Source organism: Homo sapiens, chromosome 6, assembly GCF_000001405.40.
Source record: "Homo sapiens chromosome 6, GRCh38.p14 Primary Assembly".
In the NCBI taxonomy this organism is placed as follows: Eukaryota; Metazoa; Chordata; class Mammalia; order Primates; family Hominidae; genus Homo; species Homo sapiens.
Window position 1 is genome coordinate 16476689 of NC_000006.12, and position 23320 is coordinate 16500008.

Genomic DNA, 23320 nt, shown 5'->3' on the forward strand with positions numbered 1-23320 from the left:
GATTTACTTTATCTCATACAAAACATCCTGAAAATATGGGATGCTCTGAAAGTGCCAACAGCTACCCTTGGAGTTTTTCTTTTTCCAAAAATTATTTCTTTCAATTCCAGTCCCAGATCTTCACTACCAGCCCTTATTTCAGCTATGGTAGAAGGAGTGAATATACCTTCTGTTGAGTATACAAAACGTGCTAGAAATGGTCAGTTACACCCTAAATGTCTTTCCCATCATAAGCACACAGTTTCATGCAATTATCTCGACTTGAGTGTGGTCATTCAGTGGAACAAATGACAACGGTCATTGAGACTACAAAAACTCTTTTAGTCGTGAAGGGAAAGGCAACAATGCATACGTCATACTTCCTGTCATCTGTGGGTCTTCAATGCTCTGGGGACACCCTTTCATCAGTCTCCCTTGTTCCCCATTTCCTTGCAAAGACCCACCTTGAGTCTCTTTCTTCGTGAAAAATGTCTTGGCATCTCCAGGGCCACACAGACGAAGCACTCTCAGGAGAAAATGTCACCCAAACCCATTGCCTAGGGGCTTCCACAGAGAAGTGGCCATGGAGGGAAGCCCCCAGCTCTGCCAATGTCACTTGACTGTCCATTTTAGATTTCATCTAGGCAAGGCCACTTTGGACAGGGACTTTAAGATACAATCCACAGTATTTCTATGTTCTTTGGATCCAAATCGGAAAATGGCAGAAAAAGTCATTTAGTGCCAATTCAATGTGGCATAATGAGAGGAGAGCAATTAAGAAGATTACAAAGTGAGCCATATTCCTCTTCAAGGCTGGGTGCATGGATAAATTACCAGAGCTCAGTAAGAAGGCTCTCGTTACACTGGATGGCTTTCAGGCCAGACCTGTCAACAGGAAAAGGGGCCAAGAGGGACTGTCATGGTGTTTCCCTTCCTTCTGCCTCCCTTGACCTCTGATTCCTCCCAAACATCTACTCATGTCTCCAACTCTGCATGCCAGTGCTGATAAACAAGCAAAACATTAACCTAATTCACAAGAAAAACTGATACCATCAGATGCTTTGAGATCGCCTAACATCTTGGCCCGGCAGTCCCCACATTCTGCCTGGACTACCCATTAATTCATTTGTTATTCTCCGTGGGATTCTATCTGTACCAGAAAGACCATGTGGTCCATGATCCTTAGTAAGTGACACTCCCATGATACACTTAGTAAGTGACGTTTTCCTCCTGGAGGCCTGCCCAGATGAGGGAAATGGAAAATCCTCTTTGAGCAAGGTGACTGCCAACTCCCTTCTGACCCTCTCGAGGCCACCCTCTTCCACCACCACTCCCTTACTTGCCTTTAACGAAGTGCCAGCCAGCACGTTGCTAGGACAACTGGCGTCACTGCGGAGGCACAGAAATAGATCACCAGTGGGGCTAGGAACCTGGATTATAAACGCCAATGACAGTGATGAGATACTGATTGGCAGCTAATCTGTCCCCTATAGCAAGTGACCGAGTAACACTACCCAGTGGGCAGCTCTCACCTTGACACACTACCCTTTCATCTACATTTGTGCTTGATGTGGTAGTGACTGAGAAGGGGCAAGGAACTAGCTTTAGATAGGAGCTGCATGACTCTGTTTTGAATTATGTGAGCCAGTAGATATGTAGTAACCACCTGACATTTGCACCTTTAATTTGTTAGTTTCCTGAAAATTAGGGAGGAAGGCTGTTCACAAGCCGAAGTATGACAGCCAGAAACAGGTAGAGCCATTGAGGTTGCCAAACAGAAGGAAAAAACAATCTGTTTGGACAAGCAATAGCTTTCTCCTTTCTGAACAATAGCGTTCTACTCTTCTACCTTCTTTTAGAGATCAAAGAAGGAAAAGGCAAAGGAAACCGGAAAACTAGGGCTTGCCATGGTTGAAGAAGAGAATAATCTTTGTGCCCAGTTCTCTTTGTTCTGCAGGGTGAGTTTTACAATGCTTATAACGGGTAGCAACTCGTAGGAGCCCCATGCATTAAGACTGCCTATCAAAGTCTTGGATTTTAGCCCTGGAGAAATTACATTTTTTTTTTCAATTCTATGCAAGCCACAAAGGCTTGGGAAGAAGAAAGGAAAAATGAAATGAAGAGCAACCTAATGGAAACTTTAGAAAACCATTTTATCAAGAGCATTTTTATTTCCAGATGCACAAAGGAAGGCTGGTGAGGATGGCTGATGTGCAGATTGAAACACGTAACCAACAGCCTGGGACCTGTGCAGGGGTCCAGCAGCGAATTCTGACAGCAATGTGGGCAGGTCACCTCCCAGTGCCAGGCACTCAAGACTGGGAAATGATCACAAGATGCTGTTTAAAAATGTATTGAGAAAGAAGTAGAATTTAAAAGTAGAAGAAGATGGTTAAGAGTCCAAAGAGCATGATGATAAAAACCTGTCTGAGTTTTGGAAATAAAAGATTATGATAGAGGATAGCCATTTGTATACCATTTATGTTTCCATTTAAGGAGACTCTCCTTAAGCAAGTTGTTTCAGGAATATAAGCACAAATACAAAAAAAAATTGCTCTGAAAACTTAATTTCTCTAACATAGGTTTGAAACAGCTAATTTGCTATCACACCTCAAAATCATTTTATACTTGTCAAAAATGACTTTTTCTGAATCATGTAACATACTTGTTTAGGTGTCTGGAAAAGGTTAACATAATCTTCAGGATTTATAGAAGATGGATTAATTCTTTCAGTCTACAATTCTACTTAGCAATAATTTATTACATAGCTACCACTGGAAATTTAACATGAATTTAAGTTGGAGACATGGTTAATATTTTTATGGTATAATATGATTCTTTTACAAAAGTGAAAAATTTAGATAATTAAAAAATGAAGTTACCTTTCTATTTGTCTGTTTACATTAGTCCTAAGGAGTAATTTATGTGTTGTTAAGAACCAATAGATTTTGTTTGGGTTCTATGACTAAACAATGTCAACTAGTTCTTATCACTATTCAGTCATCCCTGCCCTTCTTTATTGTGGATTCTTGAACATTGAGCACTTCGAATTTATACCACCTAAAAAATACATCTTTAGTTTTGTTTGGGTTTTTCTGTACAAAGTTCAGTTGGAAACACTGCCCTTACTAATGCTGGGAGGCATCATTCTTTAGGCATCCCAAGTTCTTGCTTCAACTTTTACATATAAAGATCCAAAATGTGCCAGGCGTAGTGGCTGATGCCTATAATCCCAGCATTTTGGGAAGCCGAGGTGGGCAGATCACTTGAGCTCAAGAGTTTGAGATCAGCCTGGCCAACATGGTGAAACCTTGTCTCTACAAAAAATACAAAAATTAGCCGGGCATTGTGAGGCACACCTGTAATCCCAGCTACTTGGGAGGCTGAGGCAGGAGAATCGCTTGAACCCAGAAGGTGGAGGTTGCAGTGAGTTAAGATCGTGCCACTGCCCTCCAGCCTGGGCAACACAGCAAGAGACTTCATCTGCAAAAAAAAAAAAAAAAAAAAAAATATCTAAAATGATCCTGAAGAAAATGGTGGCCTGGTGGCCATGTGCTACAAATCCTCATGCTATGTTTTTGTCAGTGTTCAAACCAAACAATTTCTGATGGAAGGAAAGCTCTGGCTCTGAGCTCTCACATGCCCAGACACAGAAGTAGTACATAAAATACTATTCCTAGTCTCTTCTCAAAGCATCCTTTGTCTTCTCTAAATACACATATATATTGGGTTGAAATTCCACCTCTGCTTGAAGGCTCAATTTAGATGTCTTCCCTGAAATTCCAGCGCTGACAACTCTTACCCATCGTCCCTTTCGGTACACCTGACTCCGCCACCAAGTACATCCTTCCCATAGCACCTTCCTAGAGTCTCAAAGGGCAGTAAGTACAGATTACTCAGCCCTGGATCCCTGATAGACTCAAGAACATCCTGGCACACAACACTCTTTTAATAAATATCATGTAATTGAGTGAACTCTAAACTTAAAGAGGACACAAAAGCATTTTACCTTGGCACTATTCAGTTACAAAGCAGCCTGACCAGGCTGTTGATGTTGTTTCACCCCATAGAACACAAATGTTGTAAAAGATCCATGAACTTTTTTCCTTCCACAACGTCTGGGTGTTCTTTGCATTTTCCTCCTCCTCTCCAAGATGCTGAGAGGAGGAGCTGAGTACTTGAGGAAGAAGGTGCTGAGGGGAAAGGGTGTGCCTGGGATGGGCTACGCTTTGTCAGTTGCCTCAGGAGGTAGCTCTGACACCACTTCTTAGAAGCAGTGACTCCTGCAAAGACCCTGCCAAAGGTGCCCATCCCAAATAACACACCAGGGGCAATGGCCAGGAACTAGTGAAGCTGTCAATCAGAAGCCATTCAAGGAAGTCTGAGGAAGAGAGAGAAATGGGTGAAAGAGAAAACTCTAGAAGACTTGAAGCTATCCCCAGTGCACTTGGATGGAATGAGCTCAGTCATAACCTCTCTGCCTTTACAATCTGTAGGTCAATCTGCAGGAGCATTACAAGCAAGGATTTAAGAAAAAGGAGATTGTTCTCCCTCACTTGTCCAAAAGTGGTGGAATCTCCCCTTCTCTCCTGACCCTCTTATCTACTTCAGATTTTTTTTTTGTAACGCTGGAGAATTTGGTATCACAGATGGCAAATCTAAAAGGTACAAACTGACAGACACAGAGGGAAATTCCCAGATTGCTCTTATTAGAGTGTGCGTGTGTGTGCAATTCTCTTAGTCTGGAGATTCAGAGTAAGAGAAATTCAGCTCCCATTTTTTAAGACTTACACAGACAGCATAATGCTGTTTACACAGGTACAGAGGTATTTATTTTAGTCTCTCCATTTCTTCCTAGGAATAAAGTAATGCCTGCACTCAGAGCAGTTATTCTGAAAAGGGAGTCCATAGACACACAAAATTCCAGAAACCTTTATTATTGCTGTCCTCAAAAGCTAACTAGCACAATGCCTCCCTAAGAAAGCTTTTGTGAACTTCCCATCACACACCACAGAGACATTAAATGGGTTTCATTTGTACCAGCACACCATTTTTTCATTCTAAGGTGTGCACTAGAATGAAGTGTTATTCAGTCAGCCCCTTTCTAGGGAGATACAGCACTTCAGGCCCATCCCTACTTTGAAAAGAAATATGAACGTAAGCAGTGATGAAATGATGTGATGATAAGAGACAAAACCACCGCCGTTCACAGAAAGCCAGGGCAGGATGCTCACAAACAAGTGACAAAGCAAACCACTCAAATGGAAAAGGAGAGGAAATACAGACAGTGCAGACTTTTAAAAAAAGTATTAGAAAATCCCCAAACTCTACTGATAGGTCTAGAATTTTTTTTTTTTTACACAAATTGTTCCCTCCTCACATTTCTTTATACACATCAAGTATCCACTTCTAAGGAAAATAGTCTAGACTCTCCATCCCTTCCCCACACCCTTAAACTGCTATCAGATTCAAGCATTCTCATCAGAACAGCATGTATGTTCCTTTTCCTAATGGCTCAGGCCCACACATGAGAGGCATTCACTTAGTGAATGTCATTTAGGCATTCACTCAATGAATATTTACTGACTGCCCATTATGGGAACAAGCAGTATTTTAGGTACTATTCATTCACCAGGGAAGAATAAGAATGAGAATAAGGATAAGAATACCATCCCTCCTTTTGCAGAGCTTGCAGACTAGTTGAGGAGACTGATGATTAACAAATAAATATATAATATGTAAGGTGCTTAAAAGAAAAACACAGAAGGCTAGAGGACTGAGAGGGATGGGGTGGATGCTATTTTATGTAGATCAGGGAAGGCTGCTTTGATAAGGTAACTCAAGAATTCCTACTTAAGGAAGCAGAGAAGCTTAGGAATGAAATATGGATCACTTTCTCCTTGCTTAGACTCTAACCAATATTTGAGCACAGAGGTGGTTTTAGAAAACTCAAGTTCAAAAATCGTTCCTGTTTATTTTCAAAAGGACCAATGAGTGTGGACCCTAAATTTAAACAGCTAAAGCTATAGTCTAAGGACAGTCTCAAATAAATACCTTTGAATTGTCATATGGTGCCCAGGAGGGTCTTGTGGAAAGGGTTTCATGGTAGTGAAAGATGTAATAACTCTTTTTTTCTTTTAACCCTAAGACTGTGCTCAATGTTTTAAAAACAGTTGTAAATGAGGTAGTGCCAAATCATTGATTTTTAGGAACCCAAGAAGGTAAAATAAACGTTCAATTGGCCTCATCTAAGGCTGATACTTTATGCAACTTGAGACACTTAGGGTAAAAACCACCACTGGAGGTGATTTAACTCAATTTTCTCAAGTTGTCCATCATAAAATGAGTCCCCATGGTAGAGAGGACCCAAGGTTATATGGCTAACAACAGCATTGTGCATAAAATCCAGGTCTGCTAACTCTGAGTTCAGTGTCAGCATCATTCTCTTCTTGTACAAGATCCCCCCTCCCCCCAGCCCTTACAGCCAGTCTGAAACATCTTCAGGGGCAAAGGCCATCTGCTGGCAAGTGGTGGCAGATTTGAGAGGCAGTTAATGGGACATGCACAGGAATGAATGCCAGGAGTAACATCTGCAAGGACTGCTGAGCATGGGAACCACTACTTCCAATGGCTGCTGTGATTATCACTCACACATTTATACACCCACTCCTAGACCCTGTTTATGTGCAAACATGCATTCTTTGAAAATTGCCTGCCTTCTCTACTGCAACAGTTCTCCATGGCACAGGCTTTGGGGCATGCAGGACACTAAACCCAGGAAGACAGAAAACCAGTGTTGTAAACATGTGCCCAGATAATGAAAGGTTACCAACATCACAGTTTACTAAGAAAACTAGGAACCCCCCACTGCCCCTACCAAGCAAATGCGGTTTTGAAAAGAAAGTACTTAGCATGCACAAAGAGTTCACTAGAATTTGGTATTTCCTTGCTCTCTCAACACACTCCATTTACAGAAGGATTTTAAAATTACTTCAAGTCTGCCATGTGGCATCTTAAAGTGTACACTTCAGAAGTCCTTTGAAAACCTCACTCAATCTTTGAGGTCTGACAGGGTGTCACATGAACAGTTCAAAGCAACGGTTAAAACAACAACAAAAAACCCCCACTAGATTTGAAACAAAAGCTATCTTGATTATGGTAACTGCATGAGTTATTTAAATAGAGCCTGAAACCTAAAGCAGTTTTACATAAGACACTTGTTTCCTAGGATAAAAATGCTTTAAAAAATACCACCAGAAGTGCATTCTAACAGTTACCTGATTGGGAAAATGATTTCTAGTAAAACACACTGTAACTGGAGTACCCAAATCTAACATGGCCCACAATTATTCCTTGATAGTGACAGAAACTTTTACAATAAGGTTTTTTTTAAAAAAATAAGTAAAATAGTGCTTTCACAATGCTCTTCCCCTTATGAGGACCCTAAACCAAGATGCTGATTGCTTAATAAAAAGGTAGTATGGGCTGGGGATGGTGGCTCATGCCTGTAATCAAAACATTTTGGGAAGCAGAGGCGGGAGGATCACTTGAGCTCAGTAGTTCAAGACCAGCCTGAGCAACATGGTGAAACTCTGTCTCTACCAAAAATACAAAAAATTAGCCAGGCATGGTGGTGTGCACCTGTGGTCCCAGCTACTCTGAAGGCTGAGGTGGGAGGGTCACTTGAGCTTGGGAGGCAGAGGTTGCAGTGAATCGAGATCTTGCCATTGCACTCCAGCCTGGGTGACAGAGTAAGGCACCACCTCAATTAAAAAGAAAAAAATGAAAATAAGGTAGTATGAAGCAATACACAGACTTGCAAAATATTGTTTTATGGGGGCTCGCGACTTGCCCAAGGTTGCCAGTGTACTTGATCTCAACAGTAGGAATAGGATTCAGGTCAGCTGATTCCAGGCTGACTGATTTCCACTAGACCCAACGTGTACAGAATGGAAACACAATGAAGCTTCAGTGTCTCCCACTGTCTGCTTTCAATGAAGCACTGGGAAAATTTGAATTTAATAAGCTCATATTAATATTACTGATTATTTAACCCTGAGGAGATGATATGGATACATATGCATATTTTAATACAAATGTTTAGAAATCTATGAAACCAAAAAAATTAGGAACATTTTTTTTCCTTGTCAATACTTTTCTCCCTGATATATGCTACACTTTGCTCTTTACAAATCTTGTAGGCAACTGCAAAAAAAATAGGTAATACATGTTCAAAAAAGTTTTCTGGCTGAGTTAAGAAGCTGGAAACCTAAATATATATGTGTGTGTGTGTGTGTGTGTGTGTGTGTGTGTGTGTGTGTGTGTACACGCACACACATACATAAACAAGAGTATACATATATATTACAGAAATATATGTATTTATATATACACAAAAACAACAACAAAAACCTAGAAGAAATTGGCTTGTCATTTCCTAAAATTTGAAGATAATATCTTCTCGTCCTCAGAGGTATTCATAGGCCATCCTGGGTTTCATGTAGCTATTTTCTTTCCTGGTCAAAATCTCCTAACTGTGTTTTGTGACACAGTCCAGCAACAAGGTAAATTCTCTAGAAAGTAGGAGGGCTGAGCACCTTTGCATTATTTCCTAGTGGAAGGGCTCCCTGAAGTCACACTATGTCATCTCTTCCATTACCTGACACTAAAACTTCTCATGCAAGGCGGCCATCAGGTGACATGTGGGAACAAACTTTACTAATCTCAAAATCCCAAGCCAGTAACTGATCAAAACCAGTAAATCAGCTCATTTTAAGTAAGGGAAGCACCAAACATAACTGCTTGTAACTTGCATACCTCAAGATTTTACAAGCCAGAGAGAAAAATGTCATTTTCATCAACTGCACATACAGAAGAATAATTGCTGGATGGAAACTCTGATTGCTAATCCTTAGCCTGGAGAATTTTACCCCCTACTCACCAACCTAAAAGAACTGCAACAGCCCAGTTTAAAGGGGCTGCTCTAAATCTGATACTATTTGACTGTACCAGTAGAAAAGGTGTTCCTACAATGAAAGAATCACTGTATTCCATCCTTTTATTCCTGAAGTAGATAGTTTGCAGCATGCCATAGAAGCCGAGAGAAAGGCAAGTTCCAGCAAATACAAACAGGACCTCTTCCCTTAAAAAATTAAATTCCCTTCCAATTAAAAAAAGAAATTAATTGGACGATCACCTAGAGCTCATGCTAATACCCCTTCAACACCTGGCTCGGTTACATCAAGTGATTCATGAATCCTACAAGGCAAGCCACTACACATATTGTTCTTGGTTGTTAACTTACAACATTCACTGCGTACTGTTCACAGGTAGCCTCAGCCTATACTTCACCATGGAGACTTCCCACAGGCTCTGGAGGGCTCCTGAGGGCTCTTGGGCTCAGGCGTGTTCTTTCTTCCTTTCACAGAGAAGTGAGAAATACCTAGCATGGAAATAGAACAGAAGAAAAAGAAAAAGGTAAACACATCATCAAATCACTTGTTATCTGAACAAATACAGTCTCACGACCAATTAGACGAATTGATAGTTCACCAAAGACCATTTTCTTAAAAAAGAAGTTCAATGTTCTTGCTCTTTTCCCAAAAAGAACACAACATGGTACAGCCAGCCTCTCCTCACCCCAAAGTTGAAGCCATTTCTGGGAGACTTCAGACACAATCTTAGCTGAGATGCAAACTTGCAAAAGCCTCAAAACAGGCCACTTGGCTTTACTCTTCTGCAAAAGGAGGCAAGGACTAGCACCTTCTGCCACTGTCATATCTTACTGGGTCATGGAGAAGATCAAGAAGATCATTCTTGCAAAGCACACACAGTTCCCGAGAAGAAATCCACTATGTTAATGCAAAGCGTTGTTGGTGGTCATAAGCCTGTTCCTGAGCTCTGGAGCCAGAATACAAAAGCCAGCACTGGTAAGGCACCAATCATCAACTATCCCGGGAGCATCCAAACGTCTGCATGCCCTACTGTGCTGAGTTTCAGGAAAGAATAGGAACAGAAACGAAGAATCTGGAATCTCCGGGAAAAAGAAAGTGAAGGCATCACGCAGGAAGCTAGGAGAAAGAGTGTAAGGTGGGCAGTAGGGCACATGCAGGAGCGTGGTTATTTGGTACACGGCTCCCTCAGATTGCTGGTTTGCAGCGTTTCGTGCACTGAATGTTTGCGACACTGTGAAATTTTCCACTTGGCTGTCTGCCATTTCCGCCCACCGAAGACAACACTTACACCCACCAGAGTGGCACAGCGAGGCCCTGCTGGAAAAGGATTGGATAACTTTTTGTTTATTTGCTGTTGCTTTTAATGAAAAGACTTATTCATATCCTGATCATTAATATTTTCCACACCTGGATTTCTTGATTTTTTTCCCCCTTTCAAGGCTGACCCAGGAACAGCTTCTCCTGGAACGATACTATCAACTTATTTCGCCTTGTATACTTTTGAGAAGCACACTTGAGGCAAAGGAACTTGTATTAGCAGCTTTGAGGATGACAAGAAACAGAATTTAAGTGCTACACTAGAATCTTGTTGCTTCCCAAATACATCATCGACAAAGGCCAGTCATGTTTTTCCTTTCAAATCATGAGCATGCACAGAAAAAACAGTTGTAGTATTAGCATTGTGGGTGTCATTAATAGCATTTCTGAGGAAAAAAAACAAAAAAGAGTGGTCCTTTATCTCTAAAAAAAGGCAAGAATGAATAATAACAAATCTTAGATTTGGAATTGGTAACACACTGACAAGTATATCTCAAAATAAAGAACTAATAAAAAATGGAGAGACAAAATTGGGACAGAAGAGAGAAAGGAGGTGTCTGCTACTCACATAATTAACCATCACTTTCATAATGAATACAGTTTACCAAGTGCTTTCTCATTAATTAAATCATTCGCTTGATACAATTTTACTTGGTACTTGCTAAATCCACCAGGCTCTGTGTTCAACTGGGGAATACATGGTAAACAAAATAGCCCAGGACCCTGCACCCAAGGAGCTCACTGCCTCAAGAGGGACAGAATTAAATAATTATATGAGTTTTAGGAGATGCATAAAATTTGAAAACTGGATAGGCAATATGAAGGAAAAATGAACATTGTGATTTGTAGTCATGATGGGGGTACCTCACTTAGAAGGAGGGTCTCAGGAAGGCTTCTCTTACAAAACTAACATTCGAACAGGAAAGTCAAAAATGAGCAGAAGTTAGCCAGGCATCAGGTTTCCAGGTAGAGGAAACAGTCTGTATTATACGAACTGATCTAGTGATGTACAACTGTGTTCTGTTATTTCTCTCTTTTTTATTTTGCCATTTCAACTGAGTCTCCTTGAAAAAGAAATGAGTGACACAACTGTTCTCCATACCTTGAAATAAGAGATGATTCATCTTTCTGACTGCTAGGCCATCAGAGCAACACACACCTTCTCTGTGATTAATTTCGGTGAGAGGAACACCCCTGATGCAGGTATTATTCTTGATGTGACAGCAAATAATGACCCTGCTCTCTAATGCACCCCAAGTCACTCCGTTATCACAGTGAAGTAAAAGGAAGCTCTCTTGTTGACACCTGCATGCCACAGCTGAAGTTAAGAAAACCCTCCCCCAAAAAGGACTGAAAACAGATCACATTACTTGTAGACTTCTGAAAAACATCTTTAGGACCTTGGATCAGGTACCAGATTTCTGGCTTCCCCTTGATGATTACGGTATTTTTACTATTTCTCTCTTGGACTTAAACAGCTTTTATGCCCACCGTTAACAGTGTTCCGTCAACCTTCTCTCTTGGTTCTTGGTTCAGTGGTCTGTTTACTTACCCACATGAGCCGCAAGCAAGGTGCAAAGAAATTAAAAGCAGTGGAAATGTCATGTTCATCTGAAGTGTTTTCTTCTTCCCTATCATCCCACATCTGGCTCAACTTAATTCTTCCACTAAGGAAAATCAGTAGTTTGCTTTCTTCATCCTACAACATTAAAGCATCATCCAACAGGCTCATTCATGTTCTCCCCATGAATGGAGTAAGTCTGAAAGCCTGTCTGAAACAAATATGCCAAACTTCTATTTGAGTCTCTTTCCATTTAAAATGTCCAAGATAAAATGTAATTTATCCTACAAGCTTCTTATACAAACAAAAATATTAACAATATTCCACATTCAAAGTCTCAGAGTATAAACCTTCACTTTGACCTGGCAACTTTGACACACTCAGAAAGGAGAGAGAGAACAAGAAAAAGCACTTCCTGAAGCCAAGGTGTCCAATATCTTGCCATCGGACCTGGGAAATTACGCCAGGCTGTCAGTTTCATCCTCTGCCTAGAGGAGAAAATGACACAATGCCAATTTCTCCTTCCCCTGACTGCCCACAGCACTTACAGTCTCTACCACACATTCTGACCCAAGGTCCTTTTCAGTTCAGCACTTTGTTATACTGTCTTTTTATACTCCACTGGATTTATTTAAGTCTTGAAGGCTCAAAAAGTTTCTAAGCTCTCTGATGAAAGAAACCTTGCCATGCCCTTCTTTTGCAACCTCCTAACAGCATCTAGTGGAAGAGCCTGGATTTAACTTAAATGATCCATATCCAAAACCTGTTCTAGGACTTAACCCTTACTCCAAAAGAATCACCAGTCTACAGCTATGCTTTAAGCCCATTTCACCTTTCTCTGTCTTCCAGGGACTTGAAAGTCTGATGATGCCTATCATCATCATGTGTCAGCCCTCCACAAACTCAAAAAAAATTAAATTACAACTTAGCCTTTCTATTCTGTTCTTCCAATCCATTACATCTTAAGTCATTAGTGGAATTTGAACAGTTGTCATCTCCTTTCAAGATTTACAAACTCCCCCATTTCCTCATCACCAGCAGCTTACATCACTAGCTCTCATAGCTTCTCAAAGCCACTATTAAGGAAACCTTCATGGCATGTGGAGGGGAGATGCAGACCTCTGAGGCAGTGATATTCAAACTTGAAGCAGCATCAGAAATGGCTGGAGAAGGCCAGGTGCAGTGGCTCACACCTGTAATCCCAGCACTTTGGGAGGCTGAGGCAGGAAGGTGGCTTGAGCTCAGGAGTTCAAGGCTGCAATGCACTATGATCACGCCACTGTACCCCAGCCTGGGCGAAAGAACAAGACTCCGACTCAAAAAAAGGAAAGAAACGAATAGAAATGGCTAGAGGGTCTTGTTAAATCAGAGAATGCTAAGACCCATCTGTAGAATTTCTGATTCAGTAGGCTTGGGGTGGGGTCAGATAATTTGTATTTCTGACAAGTTCCCAGGTGATGCTGATACTGCTGGTCCAGGGACCAGACTTTGAGAACCACTTCTCTAAGGTTAAATGTTTCTGTCAATTACAGGGCCAGAGAGATGCTGAGGATCTTTTGAGTACATTTAATCACCATTTGATAGCTACATTGAAAGCAATGATACCTGTCTATTTCAAAGAAGCGACAAATGACCAAAAAAAAAAAAAAAAACCAAAAACCAAACAACAAAAAACTTCACACACTATATTACCCAGGTTATTACACTGTGTGTGGCCTCTCTACTTGGAGTCTGAATCCATTCTCCTCCTACTGGTTCCAGATCCTGCTGGGGTCAACTCTGCTCCCAACTTCCCTTCAGTCTTTTTCCTCTCTACTGGAAATTTCTCACACTCCAAGCATACTCAGTCACTGCTATTCCTAAAAGAATTTATCCATACCCTAATACAGTCCCAAATGGCTGTCCTCTCTCTTCTGTTTACCAACAAACAGTTGTACTATACATTCAATGCCAGTATTTCACCGCCTACATCTTAAAACTCTGGAGCTTGATTTCCACCACTTTTCTCTGTGTTAGTAACCTTCCTTCTCCTCCAAAGGTCAAGAATGGTTTCCTGCCTTCTAAATGCAGTGACCTTTGCTGAGTCCTCCTCTTAACTTCTCTAACAATGTCTGATACAGTTCACTAGTAATAGTTCCTTCCATTTTCTTTTCCTTTTATTTAGTAGACTAGCATTTTTGCCTGAACAGCATCTTTTCTGGAATGATCTCTCCCCTTGGCTGTTATCTGGGCTGGGATGACTTCACACATTGGCCTGGAAGATGGACATATGACCCAGGTCTGGGCAATCGTAATACAACAACCCTCCAGCCACAGTGACTGGCCTAGGGGTAGGCATGTACCCAAGGCAAGCCAATCAAAGGCCTCTCTCAGACTACCTGGAACTAAGAGGAGCAACACACTCTTTCCTAGTGAGACCACGGGAGCATGATGCTACTAACAGCTGGTTTCTTTAGCCACCTCTTACAGAAAGCCCACTGGAGAAGGAAGCTTCCCAGTACAGAGAAAAGCTGAAAGACAGAAAATCTGAGTCCTGATGACAGTAAAGTCCCTTGGATTTAGCCATGCCAGAAGTTAGACGGATCCCTGGATTTTTTTTTTTTTTTTTTTTTTTTTGAGACGAAGTCTTGCTCCATCACCCAGACAGAGCAGTGGCACGGTCTCACTCACTGCAACCTCTGACTCCGAGTTCAAGCAATACTCCTGACTCAGCCTCCCGAGTAGCTGGGATTATAGGCATATGCCACCACACCTGGCTAATTATTATTATTATTATTATTTTTTTTTTTTTTTTTTTTTTTTGATACAAGGTTTCGCTCTTGTTGCCCAGGCTGGAGTGCAATGGCGCAATCTCAGCTCACTGCAACCTCTGCCTCCCAGGTTCAAGCAATTCTCCTGTCTCAGCCTCCTGAGTAGCTGGGACTGCAGGCACCAGCCACTACGCCCGGCTAATTTTTGGTATTTTTAGTAGAGACAGGGTTTCACCATGTTGGCCATGTTCAAGACAGGCTGGTCTTGAACTCCTGGCCTCAAGTGATCCACCTGCCTCAGCCTCCCAAAGTGCCGGGATTACAGGTGTGAGCCATGGCGCCCGGCCTGATCCCTGGAATTTTTAGTTATATTATGATAGACCAAATTCTAACGTAGCCCACAAGATTGCCATGTCCCCTGCCAGACACACACCTCTTCCCAGTTAGTCAGTGGGACAGTAATCAAGGTTCTGCTGTTGTGAAGGGATTTTGCAAATATAAGTGAGGTCCAAAGTCAACCAACCTTAAAATAGAGAGATTATCTTGGTGAGCCTGATCTAATTAAGAGAACCCTAAAAGGGATGGGGCTTTACCAGGAATGAGATTCAAAGTGAGAGAGGACATGTTGATGGAGGAGGCAAGTCATATGGCAAGGAACTGAAGGTGAATGCCAGGACCTGAGAGTGGCCCCCAGCTCACAGCCAGCAATGGAACGGGACCTTGGTCCTACGACCACAAGAAACTAAATACAAAAAACCATGTGAGCTTGAAAAAGGACCATGAGCTCCAGATAATAAGGCAGCCCTGTTGACACCTCAATTTCAGTCTTATGAAACCCTGAACAGATAATTCAGCTAAGCCATGCCTGGACTTCGGACCTCCAACAGATAATTCAACTAAGCCATGCCTGGACTTCGCACCTCCAGAAACTGTGAGATAATAAATAGGTATTGTTATAGGTGGGAATTGAACAATGAGAACACATGGACACAGGAAGGGGAACATCACACTCTGGGGACTGTAGTGGGGTGGGGGGAGCGGGGAGGGATAGCATTAGGAGATATACCTAATGCTAGATGACGAGTTAATGGGTGCAGCACACCAGCATGGCACATGTATACATATGTAACTAACCTGCACATTGTGCACATGTACCCTAAAACCTAAAGTATAATAATAATAACATAAAAAATAAAAAAAGAAAAGATGCACACACAAAAAAAAATAAATAGGTGTTGTTTAAGTCACTATATTTGTAGTTTGTCATACAGCAATAGAAAACCAATCCACATATAATACAATACATTTCTTTTTTTTTTTGCTTGAATCACTTTGAGTTTAATTTGTCTATTGTAACCAAAATAAACAAATATTCTTAATTTCTCTGAGATGGTACTTTCTTGGGTTCCTTATATTACTCCTTATGGCCCCTCTGCAGTTTTTTGCTCTCTCTGTTCTTTCTAACTCTAGGGGACAGATTTCCTAAGGCTATCTGCTCAGTTCTATTCACTTTCTATAATGATTTCCTTCTACTGTTTATCGTTCTTAAATCTGTATCCTGGTCCCTGGTATCTCCCCCTACAAACTCCTGGATATATGCAGTGGAAACAAATTATGTTTATTTCAAACTTTCCCAGTCCCTTGCTCCAAACCCAGCTCCTCCTCTTTAATTTCTGATGGAAGCTGACAGCATCATCATCTTCTACTCTTTCTCCCACATTCCATCGGTTTCCAAGTCCTACCAATTCTGCACCCTTTCTATCTTCACCGCCCCATGCTAGCTCAGACTGAATTCCTCTCACAGCAGCCTGCTCATTGGTCTTCTTGTCAATGCTTTCTCTCTCTAAACCATTTGAGTCATCCCTGTTGGATCGAACTTCCTAAAGTAGATATAACACAACTTCCCCGTGCCATCCATACCTTCATTGGTTCCTACAGCTTACTGAACATCTTCGAAATTCTTTATTTGATGCTGAAGATCTTCACAATCTGGCCCCAGCATGCTTTTCCAACTTCATTTCTACTTCTCCCCTCATGCACACTGAAGCAGCCACAGTGAGCTTCTCACTTCCTCTCTGAGAGCCCGCATTTCTACTCCACGTGTCAAAATGTAAGCCAGACCTCCCAAGACCAGCTCAAATCCCACTTTTTCTACAACTCTTTTATCCTCTTATTCTACAACTTTCTCAATCAGAAGTTTTTTTTTTTTTTTTTTTGGTTGTTTTGTTTTTGCATGTGAATGCCTATGGTTTTAAAATTCATTTTCCTTATGTTACTAACCATTTTATTCCTTATCCTACAATAGGTGTCATCTCCCCAAGTGGAATGTGGTAACTTCCGTAAAGGTAGGGTTTATGTCTGTCTTCTTTTTGTAAGCTTCACGGGGCTTTCGCAAATGATAACTCTTTGATCAATATTTGTTGATTAACTGATTGATAACATGGTATTATATTACATTATACTTGAAGACGTTATATGTCTTTGAGTCTCTGTCCTCCATGGAAGAGGACAGGTGTTCAAATGGAAGAACACCCTTTTGGGTGACTTGGAGAAAAATCATCACATAAGTCTCTAAGGAAACTGTGCAGTCCCTCAATGAAATGTTCCACAACAGCCTCTTTTTCCAACTCAGAACTAAAGGTAACTCTTTGTATTTCCTTTCTGAGGAATAAAGAGAAGCTGCCAGGGCTGCTGGCAATTGCAGAGTTCAGAAATGCTTCCTCTGAATGAGCACACTCAGCCCAGCAGGGTGCAGAGCCCTGTCTCCACCCTGCCCACCAAGGAGCTTAAGTGGCAGGCAAACTGGGCCAAAAACACCCCTTTCCCATGGAGAGGCATCTCCAGTGCAGGGCTGGACTGAGAGGCATCTCCAGTGCAGGGCTGGACTGAGAGGCATCTCCAGTGCAGGGCTGGACTGAGAGTCCAGTTAGACCTCAAGAAGAGTTGGAGGGAGGTCAGCGTGGGAGGTAGGCCAAAACTCAAGGTATTCTGAAGAATATGATTTATTCACAATATCATGCGTTCCCTGTTCAGTCAACATTTGATCATTTATGGGAGTTATCCATTGTAAAATTTCTTACAAACTGGCAGTCCTTGGATACCTAGCATGCACTCAGAATATTCTCTGTGTATATTAACTGGTTTGTGTTCAAGGAATAAAATCCAAAATTAGTACCGGCCTAAAGAACACATTATCAGAGATAAATATGCTGGAAAAATGTCTATCCTCAAAGGTTTTTTAAAAAAATTATATTTCATGTTGATCCATGTCACTGCTTCTTATCATTAGCATGGCTTATCACATAAAGGTAAGGATTTATTCATACAGAGACTGCTGCTGTGTGTATTTGTATGCAGGTTACATCTCCTTATGGACGTAGTGCAAAGTTTGCTATGAAATATAATTATACATTGGAGAAAAGTATGTCTGCATATCAAGAATAAAATGAAAATAAAATGTAAGTTGAACATATAGATGATAAATACCCAATCTGTGCTGAGCAGCTGTAGAACGACGTCTCAGGAAATTAGTATTTTAAAGACAAGATGTCATGTGCTCCTATTGACAACTTATTCCTGGCCTTATTTGTTCAACACGCAGGTCCTTCAGGTATTGCTGTAGCACAACAGAAAGAACAGTGGGCCAGAAGACAGGGAGGTCTGGGTCTAGAAGCCCAGAGACTCCACATCCCGAGTTACACATCCCCTTTCTGGTTGCCATGAGTCATCACGCACCTTCTGCCCAGAGGAGAGTTTTATTCATGCCTGCTTGAAAAGGTCAGTGTTTAGGTGTTGCAGAAGTGCTTGGTGAAAATGGGGAAGGCTGAAACACAGCCTGTGCCTCATGCTTTGATAATTTCTGAAGCATTTATAAATCATGAGCAGCTAAGGTCTGCAAGATGCTAATGTGTGCAGTCCAGTCCTCTGACTTTAAGTCTGTTTCAGTTCCTGCTCTATTTGCTCCTTTTTAATAACACAATTAGTAAAAATCCTAAAAAAGAAATAGCTAAATATTTTCCTCTCATTCTCTTTTTGCCATAATATTGAGAGTTATATGATAGTATCTTCAACTATTTTATTTGGCCTGACTTCACAAAGTACCAAACGGGGAGTGAAGATAAAATGAAGAGACAGAATCCACATATGCATCTCCCAACCTCTGTCCTTTTGAACAGACACAAGTAACAGAATTTACCAAAAGTATTAAAAACACGACCTTGGAAGCATCCTATCAAAGCCACAACTTCCTTTTCTTTTTATGAACTACTACCATGCAAAATTGCATGGCTACAGCTGGGACATCAAATCATGCTTTAAAAAATTAGTATTGGGGCTAGGCGTGGTGGCTTACGCCTATAATCCCTGTACTTTGGGAGGCCAAGGCAGGTGGATCATTTGAGGTCAGGAGTTCAAGACCAGCCTGGCCAACATGGTGAAACCCTGTCTCTACTAAAAATACAAAAATGAGCCAGGTATGGTGGCAGGCGCCTGTAGTCCCAGCTACTCACGAGGCTGAGGCAGGAGAATCACTTGAACCCAGGAAGCGGAGGTTGCAGTGAGCCGAGATCATGCCACTGCACTCTAGCCTGGGTGACAGAGTGAGACTCTCTCTCTCTCTCTCAAAAAAAAAAAAAAAGTTATTATTGGTATATTAGTAAAAGCCATTCAAAGCTCAAAAACAACAGAATTATTTTCTGAAATTCAAAATCAGTGCCAGATTTAACTACTTTTGCATAATGTTTGCCCCCACAGAACTTTCCATAATAATATTACGTCAACAGCACTCATTTTCTTTTTGGTCTACTTGTTTTACTAAATTAAAAGCCAACAGATACAACAACTCCATACTTTAAACTCCTTTTTTAATACTATTCCGAGTAACTGCCTCCTTGTTTAAATATTACAATTTTCTGACTCAATCAGAACAAAGTATTGCAAGACAAAGGTGCTATTGAAAACTTCTCTTTTTTTGGAGGAGGCTTCATAAAAGCATTCTAGCTTAAAACTGGGATTTCAATGGTCTTAACTGTGAATACCATGTAGCAGAAATGCCACTTGGCATTATATCTAGGGATTACCTGTTGAAACACCAAAGACAGGTATACTTTGATGTGGGTTACGCAGGGCCGGGTAAGTAACAAGAAATACAATTATTCTTTCTTTCTATGAATGTGGCGCTGAAGATTTGATACCATATTTGGAGCACAGATCCATCGTGTGGAGGGATGGGGAAACACAGGAGAGGGGTGCTGAGTGTGACCACATGTCCACAGGCCTGTCTGAGCTCGCTACAGGTCACACTGCATCATGAAGGACCCTGTACTCCACTTGCTGCAATTTCAATGCAAATAAAGAAAAATATCAACTACTATTTTATGAGTAAAGGACGCTGGCAAGATGCAGCCGTGGTTTGTCTTAAGAGTCCTGAAACTCAGTTAAAATACCTGATGATCGCGTTTCATTAAAAACCCCAAGGAATTTCTTTACACCATGAGCATTCTACAAGTTTCCTACCTCTCTTTAAGACTAAATATTTAAAACTCTTTAGAATTAGCATCATCTATGTGTCACTTGGCTCTAGGACACATATTCTCGGGGAAGAGCATATCCCCATTTCTATTAGGAGAAAGAATAACAGGATTTCTCCCCTCCTCCTTCATCTTGCAGATTTAGGGGTTTATCCTAGTATCATGGCTCAGGGGATTCTCACACTTACAACTCCTAATATATCAAAAAAGGAGAAAATCTCTCTTCACTGCTTAATTGTTTTGTCGAATAAGCTCTCAAAAGTTCATTTTTGTTACCTTTTTCAGGCAAAATAAGAGGCCTTTTACAAAAATTCTATTGCTAAAACAATGGAATTCTCCCGGGAATGACTTCGTTATGGAAATGAAGTGACAGCTTCTTTTATCTAGCCAGGCAGAAAGTCTGCATTTATAAAAGGCATTCAGAGCACTCAAGTGTTGTGTGTGGGAGGACAGAAAATGCTATTTTTAATTCAGATTGCAGCATTCCTCCCATCCAGGTCTTTCAGTATAATCATAATCATAATAAGACTGATGTAAAAAGAAAAAAAAAAAAGATTCCCATTCCTGCTGACCCCAGCAGAAAAAGAGAGAAAGAAAGAAAATTAAATAAATGATTAATACAGCTTCCTTCCACTTTTAGACCGTTCTGTGGGCTTGGAGATCCACCTTCGAGGCAATCAGAGCAGACTATCCATTATCCAAAGTTAAAAGCACTTTAACTCTGCTAGTAACAGCATCACGTCTTCTCACACAAATTTACATTCTTGTTCGTGTGACTTTCACTCTCCTAAGTTTGCAGGAATCGCCTGTGCCTGCTGGGAAACGCCGTGCAAGTTCCTCCATCTGTTTCCAAGACTTAACATTCCTTGGTGACAGTGCAATGGACGAGTCCAGCCTGGTGGCAGGGCCATGCTGGGAACTTGATTTCTAATGTCAATCACTGGAATGCCCTTCTAGTAAGGAAGAGGTGCCCAAGCTTCTGTTTGAGTTAACACAGACCTTTCCAGGTCAGGTGTAGAATCTGGAGTGATGAATGGAAGGGCTGGAAAGGAAATGAAGACCAGTGTAGATGTCTCTTTGCAGAAGTTGAACATTAGAGGAAAAAACAGAATAAGATGAAAATGGAATCACAAAGGGTAAAATGACTGGTTTAAGGCTATATGTGCAGGATTAGAGAAGAGATGGGGTCAAAGGGGTATTTTTTAATGAAGATAAAATTCACATAAAACAAAATTCAGCATTTTAACTGTTTTTAAAGTGTGTAAGTCAGTGGCTTTTACTCCATCCACATGTTGAACAACCATCATCACTATCTAATTCCAGAAGATTGTCATCATCCCCCTTATCCATGAAACAGTCACTCCCTGTCCCCCACTCCTCTCAGCCCCTGGCAAAGACTAATCTACTTTCTGACTCTAAGGAGTTGTCTATTCTGGATGTTGTGTATAAACTGAATCATACAATATGTGGCCTTTTGTGTCTGGCTGCTTTCTCTTGGCATAATGTTTTCAAGGCTCATTCATATTGTAACATGTACCAGTACTTCATTCTTGTTTTGGTTCAATAATACTCTATTGTAGGCTATACCACATTTTGTTATTTATTCGTCAGTTGATGGACATTTGGGATGATTCCATATTTGGGCTACTATGAATCATGCTGCTATGAACATTCATGTACATGTTTTTGTTTGAATACCTGTTTGCAAATCTCTTCAGTGTATACCTAAGAGCAGAACTACTGAGTCATATGTTAATTCTGTATTTAGCTATTTGAGGACTTGCCAAATTGTTTTCTATAGTGATTGCACCATACTACATTCCCACCAGCCAGGTAGGAAGATTACCATTTTTTCCACAAGCTTGCCAACACTTGTTATTTTCCTTTTTTAAAAAAATTATGGCCATCATAATGGGTGACCATAATAAAGTGGTATCTCATTGTGGTTTTGATTTGCATTCCCCTAAACACTAATGATGTTGGACATCTTTTCATAAGCTTATTGGCTATTTATATATCTTCTTTGGAGAAATCTCTATCCAATGCCTTTGTCCATCTTTAAACTGGGTTGTTAGTCTTTTTCTCTTTGAATTGTAAGAGTTCTTTATATATTCCAGAAACTAGACCCTTATGAGATACTGACTTGCAAATATTTTCTCCCATTCTGTGGGCTGTCTTTTGACTTTCTTGACAGTGCCCTTTGGTTCACAAAGGCTTTGATACTGATGAAGTCCAATGCATCTATTTTTTTCTTTTGTTGTTTGTGCTTTTGGTGTCACATCTAAGAATCTATTGCCAAATCCATGGTCATGAAGATTTACTCCTGTTTTCATTTAAAAGTTTTATAGTTTCAGTTCCTACATTTAGGGTATTGATCCATTTTTAGTTCATTTTTGTATATGGTGTGAGGTAAGGGTTCAACTTCTTTCTCTGGCATGTGTCCCAGGTGACTTTTTCCATTGTCTCAGCACCAATTGTTGAAAAGAGGTAAGAGAGATTTTGAGTATGAAGTGATTTTAGTCTTTTCTCTTGAAAAAACAAAACTTTAAAAATATACATTATTTTAAAAATTAATTTTCTGGCTTTTGGTTACACTATGACTGTATTCAGCCACTATTTAAATGTTTTTCCTCATCCCACATTTTAAAGATGCAGCAAGTTTTCATGAATGATGACCCACCAGAGCCATGATGCTGAGCTTTCAGGGAAGCCAACCACCTCTTGAGGTGGTGCTTTTGCAAGAACTAATTTTCAAAAGCAACAGTAGCTTGAAATTGCTGACTTTGGGTTGCATTTGCCTCTGTGTTTGTGCCCCTCTAGTGAACAGCCCCTGTCTTCAGATATCCACAGACCTCTGTTCTCTTTCCAAGCCCGACACCCACCCATTAAGATTGGCTCTTTGGAGAAAACTTAATAAACTAATTCATGCCAAATCGTGTATAACCAAGAGAAATAATAGACTTTTGGCATGATACCTAAGACTCTGTTTATCTTAAGCAAAAAGAATACAGTGTAGGTTGTAGAATTCTGGCTATCATCAATTCAGCCAATGCAAGGAGTGAAGACTTTTAAATCCCCCTAAAGCATCAGTTCTCCAACTTGGCTACACATTGTGACCACCCAGAGAGATTTAGAAAGTACTAATGTCTGGGTTCCACCCACAGAGATCCTTACTTAACTGGTCTGGGGTATGGCTCAGGCAATAGAATTTTGGAAAGCTCCCCAAGTGAT

The 23320-nt window shown here is 40.8% G+C and overlaps 1 protein-coding gene across 3 annotated transcripts in view, besides 2 other annotated features; it reads right to left on the reverse strand.

Annotated features, from left to right (window-relative positions):
• The window catches only part of ATXN1 (ataxin 1), a 462349-nt gene that overhangs the window by 177577 nt on the left and 261452 nt on the right, over positions 1 to 23320 (reverse strand). For all 3 annotated transcript variants that reach the window (NM_001128164.2, NM_001357857.2, NM_000332.4), the window contains one exon: positions 9284 to 9421. The gene's annotated coding sequence lies outside the window, so the exon portion shown is untranslated. The remainder of the gene's footprint in view (positions 1 to 9283; positions 9422 to 23320) is intronic.
• Positions 16572 to 16681: an enhancer, noted in NCBI's record as "active region_24109". NCBI's record gives its function as "activates an Ori minimal core promoter by ATAC-STARR-seq in GM12878 lymphoblastoid cells {active_cell/tissue: GM12878}" and the evidence as "EXISTENCE:reporter gene assay evidence [ECO:0000049][PMID:35858748]".
• Positions 17340 to 17399: an enhancer, noted in NCBI's record as "active region_24110". NCBI's record gives its function as "activates an Ori minimal core promoter by ATAC-STARR-seq in GM12878 lymphoblastoid cells {active_cell/tissue: GM12878}" and the evidence as "EXISTENCE:reporter gene assay evidence [ECO:0000049][PMID:35858748]".